We start from the raw sequence: 15,093 nt of genomic DNA, 5'->3' as shown, positions 1-15,093 counted from the left end.
TATTAATAACACAGAAATATCCCTTCAATTTTAAGTTTTTAAGGATAGCCAGTGAGACATATTAACTTACCATTAGAAAAATTTGCTGGGGACAGCAGGCAAATCCTTCTGCCTAAGTTTTTTTTTTTTTTAATATAATGGCCACTGTTTTGTTTATTGTCCCCATTTCCTTTTGTATTTAACTTTTATTTTTAATTATTATGAGTACATAATTGGTGTACATATTTATGGGGTACATATGATGTTTTAATACAGACATACAATGTGTAATAATCACATCAGCACAACGAGGTGACTATAGTGAACAATACTTTATTGTATATTTTAAAATAATTTCTGCCTGAGATTTAAATGTTACTGTCCCTCAGGCCTGGTTTCTTGGCCTTCTTTCTTTCTCGTTTTAATACCTTTTTCCTAAGTAATCTTCTCTATTCTTCTTCTTTATTACCTTGCATATGCCACCAACGCCCAAATGAGTAAGTCCAAGCCACATCCTCTTTTGAGTTGCAGACTCATCTATTCAGTGCTTATAATTCTTTTATTAATACTTGAATGATACAGAGATCTCAAATTCCCTATGTTCAAAATTGAATTAATAATATTAGCCTCTCTAATTGTGCTGCTTCTCCATTATTTCCCAGGTCAGTAAAAGAATAGCATCTCAATCCATTTGCAGCCTATTCATATCAGTTGTGTGTCTGCAATCTGTAAGGAACTGTGCTGGAATGCAGTGATGAATAGGAAAGTCATGGTAACTTCTTCCACTGATTTTTCACATCTTTTTGTTCTTCTTTACCTCTCATATCTAATCTCTTACTTAGTCCTATCATTCTACGGGAAAACTTATTTCCAGTCATCCCCCTTCCCTCCATGGCTACCACCATGATCCAAGTCCAAGCTAGCATTATTTGTCAGCTGAACTTCCATAACATCCTCTTAAAGTGATTCTGTTGTTCCCATTGTTAACCTCTATTCTATCAATTCCTCCTACTGTAATCATGATGAAAATGCTTTAAATGCAGTCCTTATAACATAATTCTCTGGTTAAACATGATGAAAGGGCTTCTGGTTAGAAGATAGCATAAAAATCCTTAACATGACTCATCATGCCATGCGTGACTTAGCCACTGCTTCCCTCTCTACTTTTATCTTCTACTACTCTGCCTTCCCTCTCTACGATACAACCACATGGGTGTTCTTTTTGCTCCTTGAGGGCACCCTGCTGGGTGTCATTTCTTCTGCTTGGGAAGCTAACTGCTCACTGGTCCTTGCTTCTAGCAGAGTAACTCTCACTTATCCTCAGGGAAGAATCCTAATACTGTTCATTCAGTGTCTTTCCTCTGAAATACTGTAATCTCCATGACAGCAGTATTCTTGACTATTTTACTTACCACCGTATATCCAGCACTAGTATAGCTCCTGGCACACAGCAACTGTGTGATAGGTATCTGCTGAATGAATAAATAAATTAGCGTTAAATATTCAGATTTCTGTTTCTTAGCAAGTGATTCCTGTTTTTGTTTTGTTTTATTTTTGAGACAAAGTGTCACTCTGTTGCCCAGGGTGGAGTGCAGTGTTGTGATCTCACTGCAACCTCCACCTCCCAGGTTCAAGTCATTCTCGTGCCTCAGCCTCCCAAGTAGCTGGGATTACAGGCACCCCCCACCAGACCCAGCTAATTTTTGTATTTTTAGTAGAGATGAGGTTTCACCATGTTGGCCAGGCTGGTCTCTAATTCCTGACCTCAGGTGATTCACCCGCCTTGGCCTCCCAAAGTGCTGGGATTACAGGCTTGAGCCACCGTGCCCAGCCTGATTCCTGTTTAAGTCCCAGAATTCACTAAATCTACTCAGTGATATTGTATCAAGAAAAAGATTTCTCATAGTTCTAATGCTTTTCAAACAACTCAAGAAAAAGGAGATGATGGGAAAAGCCTAACAAATTAACATTTACAGCAGTTCATTCTATTTTTTAAAATTTTCATTTTTATGCCAGCCAAAGCACATGAGGTGGCTTTATGTGAGATCTTTGCCTGACAAAAGTGTTCTCCATTCACTAAGGTGATTGTGTGAATTATTTTTCATTTCTGCTCTTTACTGCTTCTGCTGTCCTTTGAGATTGAGACATCCAGTGCTTCAGTGCTTCAAAGGAAACACCCAGACAAGAACAAAGGAGTAAATTTTCAGATTTTGGCATCCAAAATAGGATTTTGAGGCCAATTCCCTTGGAAAAAAACATTTTTCCAGTGGAATTCCAGTGGAAAAAAACATTGAGAAACCCAAATATTTAATTTGGAAAAGTCAAAATGTGTTGAGAGAAAAGAAACTAAAGCTGCAGAGGTAGGATGGAAGTATTAGAAACTGATAGTGAGGAAAGCACAGGAGGTGATATGAGGGCACTTCTCTATTACCCAGGAATGAGGACAGCCCTTCCTAAACAGTGGGAAGAAAGAATCCTGGAGAGAGGAGGCTAGAACAAGAGAGATGGGGTGCCTGCTTCCTGACCCAGGCTTCACCTGGACTTGCACACTTCTCCTTTTGTTGTTATAACTCAAGGGGCTGGATAGGGATCAGCAAGCATATCTTGGAGTCCCAAAGCAGAGGAAGTTGTGACAACTTCCTGTATAAACTCTGGGATGAGGACCTCATACCAAGATAGAGTGGCCATAGTAGAGCAGGGATGGTGGAACTGAGATACACCCCAAGCCTTCTGTGGTCAAGAATGGCAAATAGGAGGCCCAGAAGTTCACCTATGTCCTAGTGGAAGTTAAGGAAGCTTAACCTGATGGACTGGAAGAGACCAAGGTTAAGTTTGGAGGGCACAGCGTGTGGTAGACATCATAGTCCGAAGCCTGGGCAAGGATTACAACATCAGATGCTAGCACTTGTCCTAAGGAAACGGGTAACTCGGTTATACTGTTATCAAGCAAAGGGGGCTCACTACCTGATGCAATAGAAGCCAATACTATGACACCAGGATTTGGAGAAAAGAAAAGTTTTATGTTGAAAGTAGACTCACAAGGAAACAGGAGTCAAGCTCAAATCTGTCTCCTGTGTTGGCTTCAAGGCAGTATTTTTATTAGAAAAGGTTCTGGGGTGGCTTCTGAGATTATTAGGTAATTGGTGGAAGAAAATGGAAGGCCTGGAAAGTCCTTGGGCATGCATGGTTATGTTTTCATGCTTCCTCATGGTTTGCATATGCAAATTCACAGGCAGTGGTCTGAAACACACACTGGAAATTCAGGTTGTGATGTCAGCAACTTGTTCTGTGCAAACTCCAGTTGGCCATCTTTGTTCCAAGCGGTTTCAGCCAGTTGTTGTTGTTGTTTTTTTAAATCTCATAAGCAGGGGGAGTTTTAGCATTTTGGCAAGTTGTTTCTTTTCTTATCCGTTATCCTGCAAACTCAAGAATTTAGTCATTGGTTTCTTTAAGTCTTTGAGGCACAGTTACGATACCAGCAGAACAACAGAGCGATCAGAAGCCAACACCCAAAGACGAAGTAGTATGAGACGACACAGCTGAAGCCAGCACAGATGCAGAGAAGAACCCCTTTCTTTATTGCTTGGATGCTATTTGGTGTTCTCTTTTTACCTTGATACTATCCCAGAAAAGAAGAGCAGGGAGGAGAGAACCCACAGCAGGGAAATATAGCCCTCATTGGAAGTTTAAACTTTGAAGTGGTTGAGTTTTTGTCCTGAATTAACTGGCACACCAAACCAAAAGTGAAGGGACTGCCTTGTATAGCATAATGATTAAGATATTGGTTCTGGAGCCAGTTTGACTGGGCTCAAGTCCCACGTCTGTCCTTACTAGCTGTGCAATTTTGCAGAAGACTATTTCTCTGTGCCTCAATTTTCTCACTTGATTTGAGGATTAAATACATTATTGTCATGAAATTTTCAGAACAGTGCCTGGCACATGGTAAATACTCATTGTCAGGTTACCCCAAAGACATTTTGGAAAATGTTTTGTAGAAGGATGGCGAAAGTCTCAGTCACAACAAATTTTCTGAACCAAGAAAAAAATTGATTAGTCCAATTTCCACTCACCAAGGGCTAAACATTCTTTCCAGAGGTCAGTGCTCTTCCTGTGTGAAGTAAATGTGATAGAGGTAACTGTGGATGCAACTGGCCAGATTTCTAGTTAATCTTCTCCTACTGATTTATGCCTATCTGGAAAAACAAAACCTAGATGCAGAATTGGAAATCCAAGAACAACAGAATTTCTTAAAGTTTTACCATGAACTCTTGTTAGAAGATGTCTATTAAACATGTGTTTGATGATCTGCTTTTATTTCTCACATCCACCATGATATTCAGTGCTATTGTGTCTTGTCCTAAAGTCATCATCTTCTGGCTAAGTGAAAAGACATGGAGGGAGATTGTTCAGTTTAATGAGCACCACTGAGCACCTACTAGTTTGTCAGGCATTGTGTTTAATTCTAATGTAGGCTCTGGATGTATTAAAAGGAAAAGGGCATGGTGTCCTCTGAGAAGCTCACTTGCTTATGACACACTTCGGGGCAGTGCCAAAAGTTTTATAACATAGTTTTATGTTAACATGGGATGGAATGTGTGTGTGTATGTGGCTTCACAGAAGTGGGTATTTCCCTCTATTTTAGCTTACTGTGTGTAATTATTTATGTTTTATCCATATTCTCTCATTTTTTTCTGTTTTTGAGTAAAACTTTCCAAAGTTTTCCTATGAAACGCTGATAGAAATGGCTATATAAAGAAGTTCAATTCTCTTTTAATTTTTTTTTTACTTTGAAAAACTGATCTATAATAGTTGTAAATATTTTGGGGGTACATGTGATATTTTGATACATACATACAATATGTAGTGATCACATCAGGGTAATTGGAATATCTATTACATCAAACAGTTTTTCATGTTTGGAACATTACAATTCTTCTAGCTATTTTGAAATATACAATAACTTATTAACTATAATATTCCTACTGTCATATCGAATACTAGGACTTATTTCTTATATTTAACTGTATTGTGCCCCTTGGCTAACTTCTCTTTATCCCCCCTTCCCTCTTCCTTTCCCAGACTCTGATAACCACCAATCTACTCTCTACCTCCAAGGGATCCACTTTTATTTAGCTCTCCTTTCACACATAAGTGAGAACATGTGATATTTATCTTTCTCTGCCTGGCTTGTTCTACTTAGTATAATAACCTCCAGTTCCATGCATGTTGCTGCAAATAACAGAATTTTATTTTTAATGACTGAATAATATTCCATTGTGGGTATGTGTGTGTGTGTGTGTATATATATATATATATATATATATATATATATATATATATACAATATTTTCTTTATTAATTTATCCATTCATGTACACATAGGTTGATTCCATATCTTGGCTATGGTGAATAGGGCTGCAATAAACCTGGAAGTGTAGATATTTCTTGAATATAATGATTTCCTTTGGATATTTATCCAGTAATGGGATTGCTGGATCATATGAGAGTTCTATTTTCAGCTTTTTGAGGAAACTCTATACTGTTTTCTATAACGGCTGGACTAATTTATATTCCCACCAATAGTGTACACGTATTCCTCTTTCTGTGCTTGCTCGCTAGCATTTGTTATCTTTTGTCTTTCTGATAAAAGCCGTCATAACTGGTTACAATGGCTTTTATCAAAAAGACAAAAAAATCTCATTGTGGTTTTAATGGGCATTTCCCTGATGACTGTTAATGCTGAGCATTTTAAAAAACATACCTCTTGTCCATTTGTTTATCTTCTATGGAGAAATGTCTATTCAAATATTTTACCCATTTTAAAATTAGTTTTTTTAACTATTGAGTTATTTGAGTTCCTTATGTATTCTGGTTATTCGTCTCTTGTCATATGGATAGTTTTGTAAATATTTTCTCCCACTTTGTGGCTTGTCTCTTCATTTTGTTGATTGTTTCCTTTGCTGTGCAGAAGCTTTTAGCTTGAAATAATCTCATTTGTCTATTCTTGCTTTTGTTGCTTGTGCTTTAAAGGCCTTACCCAAAAAAACTTTGCCCAGACCAATGTCTTGTTACATTTACCTAGTGTTTTCTTTTAGTATCTTTATAATTTCAGGACTTACATTGAAATCTTTAGTCCATCTTGAATTTGTTTTTGTATATGGTAAAGGATGGGGATCTAGTTTTTTTCTTTGGCATGTGGATATCCAGTTTTCCTAGCACCGTTTATTAAAAAGGCTGTCCTTTCCTCAATGTATGTACTTGGTGCCTTTGTAAAAAATGAGTTGTCTATAAATATGTAAATTTATTTCTGGGCTCTCTGTTCTGTTCCATTGGCCTATTTTGTCTGTTTTTATGCCCGTACCATGTTGTTTTGGTTACTATCGATTTGTGCTATAATTTGAAATCAGTTAGTTTAACACCTTCAGCTTTATTTCTTTTGCTCAGGATTGCTTTAGCTATTAGGATCTTTTCTGGTTCCATGTGAATTTTAGTATTTTTTTTCTATTTCTGTGAAGAATATCATTGGTATTTTGATACGAATTGTACTGAATTTGTAGCTCATTTTGGGAATGAGGAATATGGTTATTTTAACAATATTAATTCTTCCAAACCATGAAGAAGCGATATTCTTATTTACTAACCTGGAGATACCACTTTAATCCTCTTTTTGTTTCACTTCTCACCATTTCACCCAAATCCTGAGAATTCTTAAAGTGCTGAGGGTCAATATTTTCAGGAAATCTTGAAATAGTCTTTAATGTAACAGAAACCTAGGACACTATGATGTCCCCTAATAAAATGTCCCACGTTTTCTTTTCTTTAGCTGACCCTGGCGTTCTTTAGAAGAGATGGATTAGGCACACAATTTTCAAAACCTTCACTATGCAAACATGAGTTTGTTGTCCCAGGAGGACTTGGGACTGATTCCTTGATATCCAAGAATGGGCACTGATTTCATTTGTGCACATGCTTAAGCATACCCCTCTGCTTTTGGTGAGGGCCTATGCTACATAAAATGGATTTGCACTGACCAGTGGCTGGGAAGCCTCTCTCCTTTCATGCCACCAGGATTTACCTAAGTGCTTGCAGGGCTATAGCTACATTGGGTTCCAATTGTTTTTTTCAAACTTTTATAAAATGGATGACTTCTGCTAGATGCAAAGGAAGCAACCTAGATCCTCTGTGTAATCTCCCAGGTTGGTCAATTCCTAATCAACAGAAGGTGATTCTTACCTACCTACCTTCCAAACAAGTAATCGGATACTCACTAAGACTTTATTTTCAGGACATTGTCTTGACTGAGCATAAGTAAACAATAGTTTCATTCAGTTTTATTTGAATCTATCTAATTTTTTTTAATGGTAAACTAGAAAAAAGATTTTTCTCTCAAGTTTTATTTTTTCATGCCACTAACGTTGAGAATTTTTAGGGTCATTACCACAAGGAAAAATTATTTCAAAATCTATTTTGGTGACTATGAGGGCCCAGATGAAAGGAGAAAAAAAATCAGTTTCTGTATGCTATTTGATGGAATGCATACAATTCTATTAAGAAGCACTTCAATAAATCTATTCAATTAAAGGATACAGTTGTGGCTGGGGGCAGTGGCTCATGCCTGTGATCCCAGCACTTTGGGAGGCCAAGGTGGGAGGATTGCTGGAGCACAGGAGTTTGAGACCAGCCTGAGCAACAGACAGAGACCCCATCTCTATAAAAAGTAAACAAAAATTAGCCAGGTGTGGTGGCAACTGCCTGTAGTCCCAGCTGCTTGAGAGGTAGAGGTGGGAGGATCATTTGAGCCTGGGATGTCAAGGCTGCAGTGAGCCGTGATTGCCCCACTGCACTCCAGCCTGAGTGATAGAGACCTTGTCTCAAAACAAAACAAACAAACAAACAGGAATTCAGTTGTGTAATGTTGTACCTCTGTCTTATGCAGCAGTGATGTTTGGACAGATAGAATCTGAATGTTATGGAGATGGGTCAAATTAAATTCAAGTGTAAGATGGTTTAAGATCTGCCCAATAATTTTACTGGGAATGTAGGAATTGAGAGTAAATTTAGATTTCTCTGCTCACAGCTTGTTATTATTTCAGTTGCCTATTGCTTAATGTAACATTGCATACCTATAAAATGTGGGAGATTAGAAAATCTTTGGATTCAGGTTTAAGGTGCTGCTATAATTCCATGATTCTCTAACTTGTGAAGTAATTAGAGAAATGAAACAACTGTGATGGAAATCACAGCATTTTCACTTTACACTCATAGAATGACAGAGCTTGAAGTGGTTTTTATATCTGATATCTCCTTTTTGGCCCAGAGTGTGTTGATATCTACACAACCTTGGACTCTTGGGTTATATCCTATACGGAAAATTGTGTTTCAGTGGGGGCTTTTTAGCTCTTCCTGGCAACATGCCCCATTCTTCATCAATCCTAAGGTCAGGAAGTCTTGCTTATGCCCAAGGTTAAGTGCCTTTGAACACATTGCTATTAGCTATACTTTAAAAAAGTCTCAAAGCTCTTTCAAAAAATATAGTAAATGCTCCTTTTGTTGGTTATTCTTGTCATGCTCTATTAAGATATATAGTTCACCTTACAGTATTAAAATATATTGTTGAAGTTCTGATTCTTTATATTTTATATTAATTTAATAAATGACAATTCAGCTTCTATTTTGTTTTTCAAAATTTCAGTTTTCCTTTTTGTCTGTTTTTGAACTCCTATGTCCCTGGCTAAATGTGAAGTAAACTGTCAGTTCAGAATCAATGCAGCTTTTAAGAATGGATGAGTTAATAAAGGTTATAAGAATACATTCATTAGCATTTACAATCAAAAGTCTGTAGTGTTCTTCTGTTGGTTCCTATAACATACTGGCAAGAATTATAGATAATGGCTTTACTTGTAAAATTAAGACAATGATGCCTTTAATTTTTTTGTTTTTAATTAACACAATAACTACATATTTATGAGGTGCAGTGTGATGTTTCAATTCATGTATACATTGTGTGATGATCAAATCAGGACAATGACACTTTGGACTTTTTAGGTGACACCTTGAAAAGTCATAAACATGCACTGAACTGTGATAGGCAGCATTCGCTGTAAAATACCCATTTCCAGGACATTGTCCATTACTTCTTCCCCCTTCCTTTCTGGACCACAGGGTTGCTCCTTATATCATTTTCTTGTTCTCTTTCTGGCACAATGAATAACATATGGCAAGTTATCAGCCTCCCTCAGGTTCCATTGTTCAGTGAAGCTGAGATTCTCTTGCCAGATTATCTTGTCTGTATCCCTTTTAGACACTTTTATATTCTTCTTGCTTCACAACTTGTAAAGATACACCAATGGATACCAGCATTGGTGCCCATAGATCAGCACTGGGGGGATGACCCGCGTGGTGTTTAGTTTTCACTTTTCTTTCTCCTGATTCAGTGCAGGCAAGGAAATTGAGCAAGAGCCAGGACATGTGGCAGCCCTTAAGTTTCTTCCAAATTTTATGAGCTCAGGATCTTATGTGGAGTCCACCCTTCTCTCTATCACTGGCCTTGACATCATAGAATTTACACTACAACTCTACCCTTGAAACTTGGAAATTGCTTATTATTGAGGTCACTGGAGGAGTTTGCTTATTGATTCTGAAGCTATTTGGTAACAATTCAGAGTGTAATGTAGAAACCTTATCTCCTAAATCCTGTCTTGTGTGCTCTCTCTTACACACCAGGGTGTAGTTTCTCTTGTGGTATATGCCAGCACCTTTTCTCAGCATGCCCTCATCTAGGCATGCGTCTCCTTGTGCCAGACACTAGTATACTCTATGAATTTAATATTCTTCAGTCTATAGTTATGTGGCTGTGCCAGTTACGCCTATTTTTTTCTGTTCATCTAAAACGTAGCTTTATATTATTATAAATAGAATGCACGTTTAGATGAAAATACAATGTTCATTAGGTATACCATTACAAATCACTGGCCTCTGGCCATGCTTCTCTAGTGGTGTAATTTCCATACCCCCAGGGATATGGTTATGTATCCTGTCTTTATTTTGAAGGTTATAATTGGAAGCACATGTCTTTGACTGGATACCATATATCAATAGCCTTCCTCCACTCTGCCAGGAGAGATGCACCATGCAATACAATATCAAAGGAAGCTCAATGAAATGTTGTTCTCTTATTTGAGATATATTTGGTCTGTGCTGATACTAGCTTGTTGCTAGATTTGAAAATCAAACCTTAGGCTAAGGCTGAGAGGTTTTAGGAGGGCAACCTTAGTACTAAATAGATGAGATAAAAATTATGGAGTAAAAACGGCTCACTTCAGTCATCTGCATGGCAAAACCAGTCGCCAAATATGACATACATAAACCAGAGTCTCTTATCAGTCACATGCATTTAGTTTATTTACATTTTAATTTTGCAGATACGTCTGAACTAATTTGTGAATTTTCAGTGAAAAACTTGCACTTGTTTCTCTATTTACCTTCATTTAGAGGCCATTATTTGTGAACATGTGGTCTGGTTATGTTCAAGAAAAGTTTGTTACAAACAAACACCAAATTCTGTAGTGGTTACTTGGCTTGGAGCATGAGTTTTTAAAGTTTATTGATGATCATTTACTATGGTTATTGTTAGTTTTCCTTCATGTACAAATGTACTGCTAAGCAATACCCAATGAAATTATTTTAAGTGAAAAAACATCTACTAATAATGAGTAGTAAAAACTGAAATATATGTTTTGCATTTATATAAAAGTGATTCTGCTTTCTCTTTTTTGAATTATAAATTCTTAGATTGGTGAGACTGTGTAAAAAAATTCACATTTAAGCATTTTTATTTATTTCACTTTTTGTTTGAATTCTATAGTTCTCACTACAGAAGTTAAAAACTTCTGCTTTTGGAGCTGTATTTGTTTTTATGGAAGGCTCATGTAGAATTCCAGCAAGTCTGCGATGCCTTGTGGAAGCCCTGTCTCTAACATTGGTGCTCTGTGCTGTAGGGAGGCACAGTGGGGACCTTTCTAATAGTAATATAGATGATCGAGTTTACTGGCATGCTGGAAATTATGTGGAAGACAATGGGTGTGGTTCCTTCACGATCAGTGCCAGGATCACAAATGTCATGTGCCTTTGCTCAGAGGACATATTTGTGCCAGCTGACCAAACCACCTTATGCAAAGGAGTCCTTATTCCCTGCCCTCTCACTCTCCATTCCGGGGCTAGACAGCACGAGCCAGAAAAAGTCTCTTCTAACCAAGCAGAAGGCTTTTTGCTTTTTAAATATAGAAAATGACTTCAGAATTGTTGGCATTCAATAACTAAAATACTATATTTTTCCAAATGCTTGATGATGCATTGTTTTAACCTATATGAAATTAGGCTAAATGACAAAAGCTTCCTTAAAGATTAACTCACACTGTGGCTAAAAAAGAGGATGTGCATATAATTTAGTTATAATAGAGAATAAATATAATTTATAAATGTAAGTGTTTCTTAGGAAAATTTGGGGGAATTCACAAGATGACTAAATTTGTGGAACTGATGTGTCCAGCAAAAATTTACAAGTCCTTGGATCAGTGTTTCCTTACATATTTCATGTCATGGATCAAACATAAAATGACAGAATGATGCAAAATCAGTTAATGGGTACAATGTACATTATTCAGGTGAGGGGTACCCTAAGAACCCTGGCTTAACTTCTTTGTGATCTATGAATATAACAATATTGCAAATGTTATCCATAAATTTGTACAAATAGAAAGGAAAAAAACAATTGTCATATTTCTCTGCTACACTAGAATAAACAGACAAGGCAACTGAGATCAAAAGCTGGGGTGTTTGGCTGCCCCTATCCTAAGAGTTGAGGGGACTGATAATCTGTGTATGCTTTTAGGCTGTGGATTTCTTTCTTTCCTTCCCTCCTTTCTTCCCTTATCATAATTTATTTCAGAAGATCAGTAGGAAAAAAAAGATATACCTTTTATTCTTGGATTTTCCTTTGATTTCCAGGAGTATAAATTTAGGTTTTTTTTTTTTTTTTTTTTTTTTTTTAATTTGAGATGGAGTTTCAGTCTTCTGGCCCAGGCTGGAGTGCAATGGCCCAATCTTGGCTCATGGCAACCTCTGCCTCTCAGGTTCAAGCAATTCTCCTGCCTCAGCTTCCTGAGTAGCTGGGATTACAGGCGCCTGCCACCACGCCCGGCTAATTTTCATATTTTTAGTAGAGACGGGGTTTCGCCATGTTGGCCAGGCTGGTCTCAAACTCCTGACCTCAGGTGATTCACCTGCCTCGGCCTCCCAAAGTGCTGGGATTACAGGCGTGAGCCACTGCGCCCAGTCAGGCTAAATATTCTTAATTTCAGACCTTGTGTTTCTATCAACAGGTCTTTTGTTGGATAAAATTTAAATTTAAAGAAGAACAGGCCTTCTTTAAAACCAGATCTAAATATGCTTTGGTGAGCCCAGCATGCCTAGCAGAATACCATTGGCCTGATCAGTATTCACATGATAGTAACTGATGTTGAAAACAACACTAATAACCCCAAAGTTGGAAATGACAGTAATGTGCTGAAAAGTCTACAGTGAACTTCAGCTACACTTGCCCAAATTTCAACGGATGTTGTATTTTTTTGCTATTTTGAATCATAAGCATAAACAATTCATTCTCAGCCAAGGTTCAAAGCTGGGTGACCTTAAACTTTGTATTTTATTATATATATTAGTTCCTATGTGTTAGCTCTTATAGATATTTGAAATCCTTTCTTTTCTTTCCTTTTTTATTTCTTTTTTATCTTCTCCTTTCCTCCCCAATTCCTTCCCTCCTCTTCTTCCTTCCTCCCTCCTTTTCTTTCTTTTTCCAGAGTTTCTGAATTTTTAAGGCAGCCCTAAAAGATGAGAGAAATGGAAAGGCCAAGTGTTTGAGATGTGGTATGTGCAGGGAAATAATTATAAGTGTGGCGTTTTTTATGTTTCTCTTCATGTTTCTTCCTTTTTGTCTTTTTATTTCAGAAAGTTAAAAATATTGAGTTCATTAAGAATGACTTTCATGTGGTTACCTTCTGTTGTAATAAAAAATTCATAAAGATGGAAAGTTATCCAGAAATGGAGTTTTATTTAGATTATGAATCAGGTTAATGTTTTCAGTCTATGTTTTAATTAGCAAGGGTAACCCTTGGCCACGGTTTGGATTCATCTGGTTTCTGTTCTTCAAACATTTTACATTTGGTAACCTCTAGAAGTTATTATTCATTTATTTGATTTATAAAATGTACTCGTCACCCTGGCCTCTGGGTGTATTTACAACAGTGATGCAAATTCTTAATTAATACAACATTGCTTGGTTTTCCCCAGCAAGTGGATTTCCTCACCCCCCTCCTGCAGCCACCATGAATCAGGATAAGGGCCAGCTTGAACAGATGGACCATGCAACTGGGCTTTAAAGGAGAAATGTAAATTGTTGATGTACTGGGAGGGGAAGTGAGTCTGTACAAAATACCTTTCTCTTGCTGGTGAAATGGAGAATGGATGGAAGCTCCAACAAGGACATGTTATTTGACCTACCTAGTTGTGAGGTAGTGTGAAGAAAAATATGAAAACATTGCTCAAGTTATGCCTTACTCTTCCTCCCTCAAAAGATCCAGGACAACAAAAATTAAAGACTGCTTTTTGTTTGTGTCAGACCTCAAGTTATAGTGATTGGAGGGTAATAGTCTGGTTAGATGCACACATATGAAGTCATCTGTGCTTGATTTACATCCAGATTTTTCAAAGATTTCTCATATGTAAAATGGAAATAAAATAGTACCTAATTCACTGGATTGTTGTGTGGGTTTAATGAGACAGTGTGTACAAGGTGTCTCTCAAGAAGTGGCACGTAGAAAGAGCTCAATAAATATTGGTTGTAGGTTTTCGTGGTATTTATAATTAGAAAGTTAACTGGCTTGGAGGATGCCTAAGTGACTAGTTTTTGGACCCTATAACTCACATTAAAATAGAAGTAACATGCTTCCACTGTTGAAACGTTTTGCCTGACTAATGAATGTTGATGAACGTTTCTGGAGAAACTCATTGTGGTACTACCAACATACAATGAGCTAATGGACATGAGGATTTTCTCAGTGTTGATTATGGTGTTGCCAAAACAGAAGCACAAAATCTCTGGACCACACAGCATGGGTGAGCTGTGCTTATCACCCTTCTCAGCCATTTGCATCATCCCTGTCTATCCCAGAAGAGATAGATATTTTATATATAAGAGAAAGTATTCCATTAATTGCTCAACAATAGGAGTCAGTTTCATAAAATGATAATTTGGGGCTATGGGGAATATGGTAATGAGTGAGAAACTTTGGAAGACCTTCATTTTATACTGTGAGACATTTATTGTATTCGGAGGCAGAAGCCACTTCTAGTCCCAGTGTTTCCCCTATAGCTCCATTTTGTCTCTGCAGGGGATACACGTCTGTTTCAGCCATCTCAGCTCTAGAGGACTTCATGGAAATTGAGCCAGTCCTAAGACAAAGTCTACAGTCTGTGGTTGATCTGGTAGTGTCAGTGGGAAGATGAAAGGAGTGTGTATCATCACAGCATTCATGCCATTGTTACTTATCTTTTGGTTTTTCTAGTAACCTGGTTATAAGATTCTATTTCAACATGACACATTAAAAAGGAAAAAATTAATTGGATAATTGTGTCTTTATTTACTTAACTCCAAAATATTCATTTAAAAAGAGAAAATAGTGCTTATCTGGTTGTTCACTTATTAAGTGAACATATTTTTGTTTGTATAGCAGTAGTTCTATTTTCTTCCACATCATTAAAATACGTAGTCTACTTACATCAGTAATATCTCCTGAAAATTCTATGATTTCCTACCAGGTGGCATTAGGATTTTACTGGGGTATGAAGTTAACTTGTTCTTTCTTCCCCTATACAAAGTTGGGTGGAATTGACTTAGATAGATTTTGTCAGCCCTTTGAACCCCCAAGGGAGCTTCGGGCCCTTTTCTGTTCTCACCCAAAGGATTACTCAATCACCAACACACCACATTCCCCACTCAGGAGGAGAGAGTGCTGCTCTGGATTGACCAAAATGGCAGCCCACATAGAAAAAGAAGGC

General features: G+C 37.3%; 2 long non-coding RNA genes across 4 annotated transcripts in view, besides 1 other annotated feature; both read left to right on the top strand.

The window, feature by feature from the left end:
• LOC102724210 (uncharacterized) overlaps positions 1 to 15,093 on the top strand; it is a 396,780-nt gene that overhangs the window by 220,171 nt on the left and 161,516 nt on the right. The window lies entirely within an intron of this gene.
• Positions 1 to 15,093, top strand: part of LOC107986312 (uncharacterized) — a 53,794-nt gene that overhangs the window by 31,877 nt on the left and 6,824 nt on the right. The window lies entirely within an intron of this gene.
• Positions 13,264 to 13,433: an enhancer, noted in NCBI's record as "experimental_73387 CRE fragment used in MPRA reporter constructs". NCBI's record gives its function as "activates a minimal promoter by MPRAs in K562 erythroleukemia cells, with activity observed for both the introgressed and non-introgressed 4:128158192 variant alleles {active_cell/tissue: K562}" and the evidence as "EXISTENCE:reporter gene assay evidence [ECO:0000049][PMID:34662402]".

Source organism: Homo sapiens, chromosome 4 (assembly GCF_000001405.40).
Source record: "Homo sapiens chromosome 4, GRCh38.p14 Primary Assembly".
NCBI lineage: Eukaryota > Metazoa > Chordata > Mammalia > Primates > Hominidae > Homo > Homo sapiens.
The sequence above is the reverse complement of the archived record's forward strand: the minus strand, read 5'-3'. Positions and strand labels throughout refer to the sequence as shown.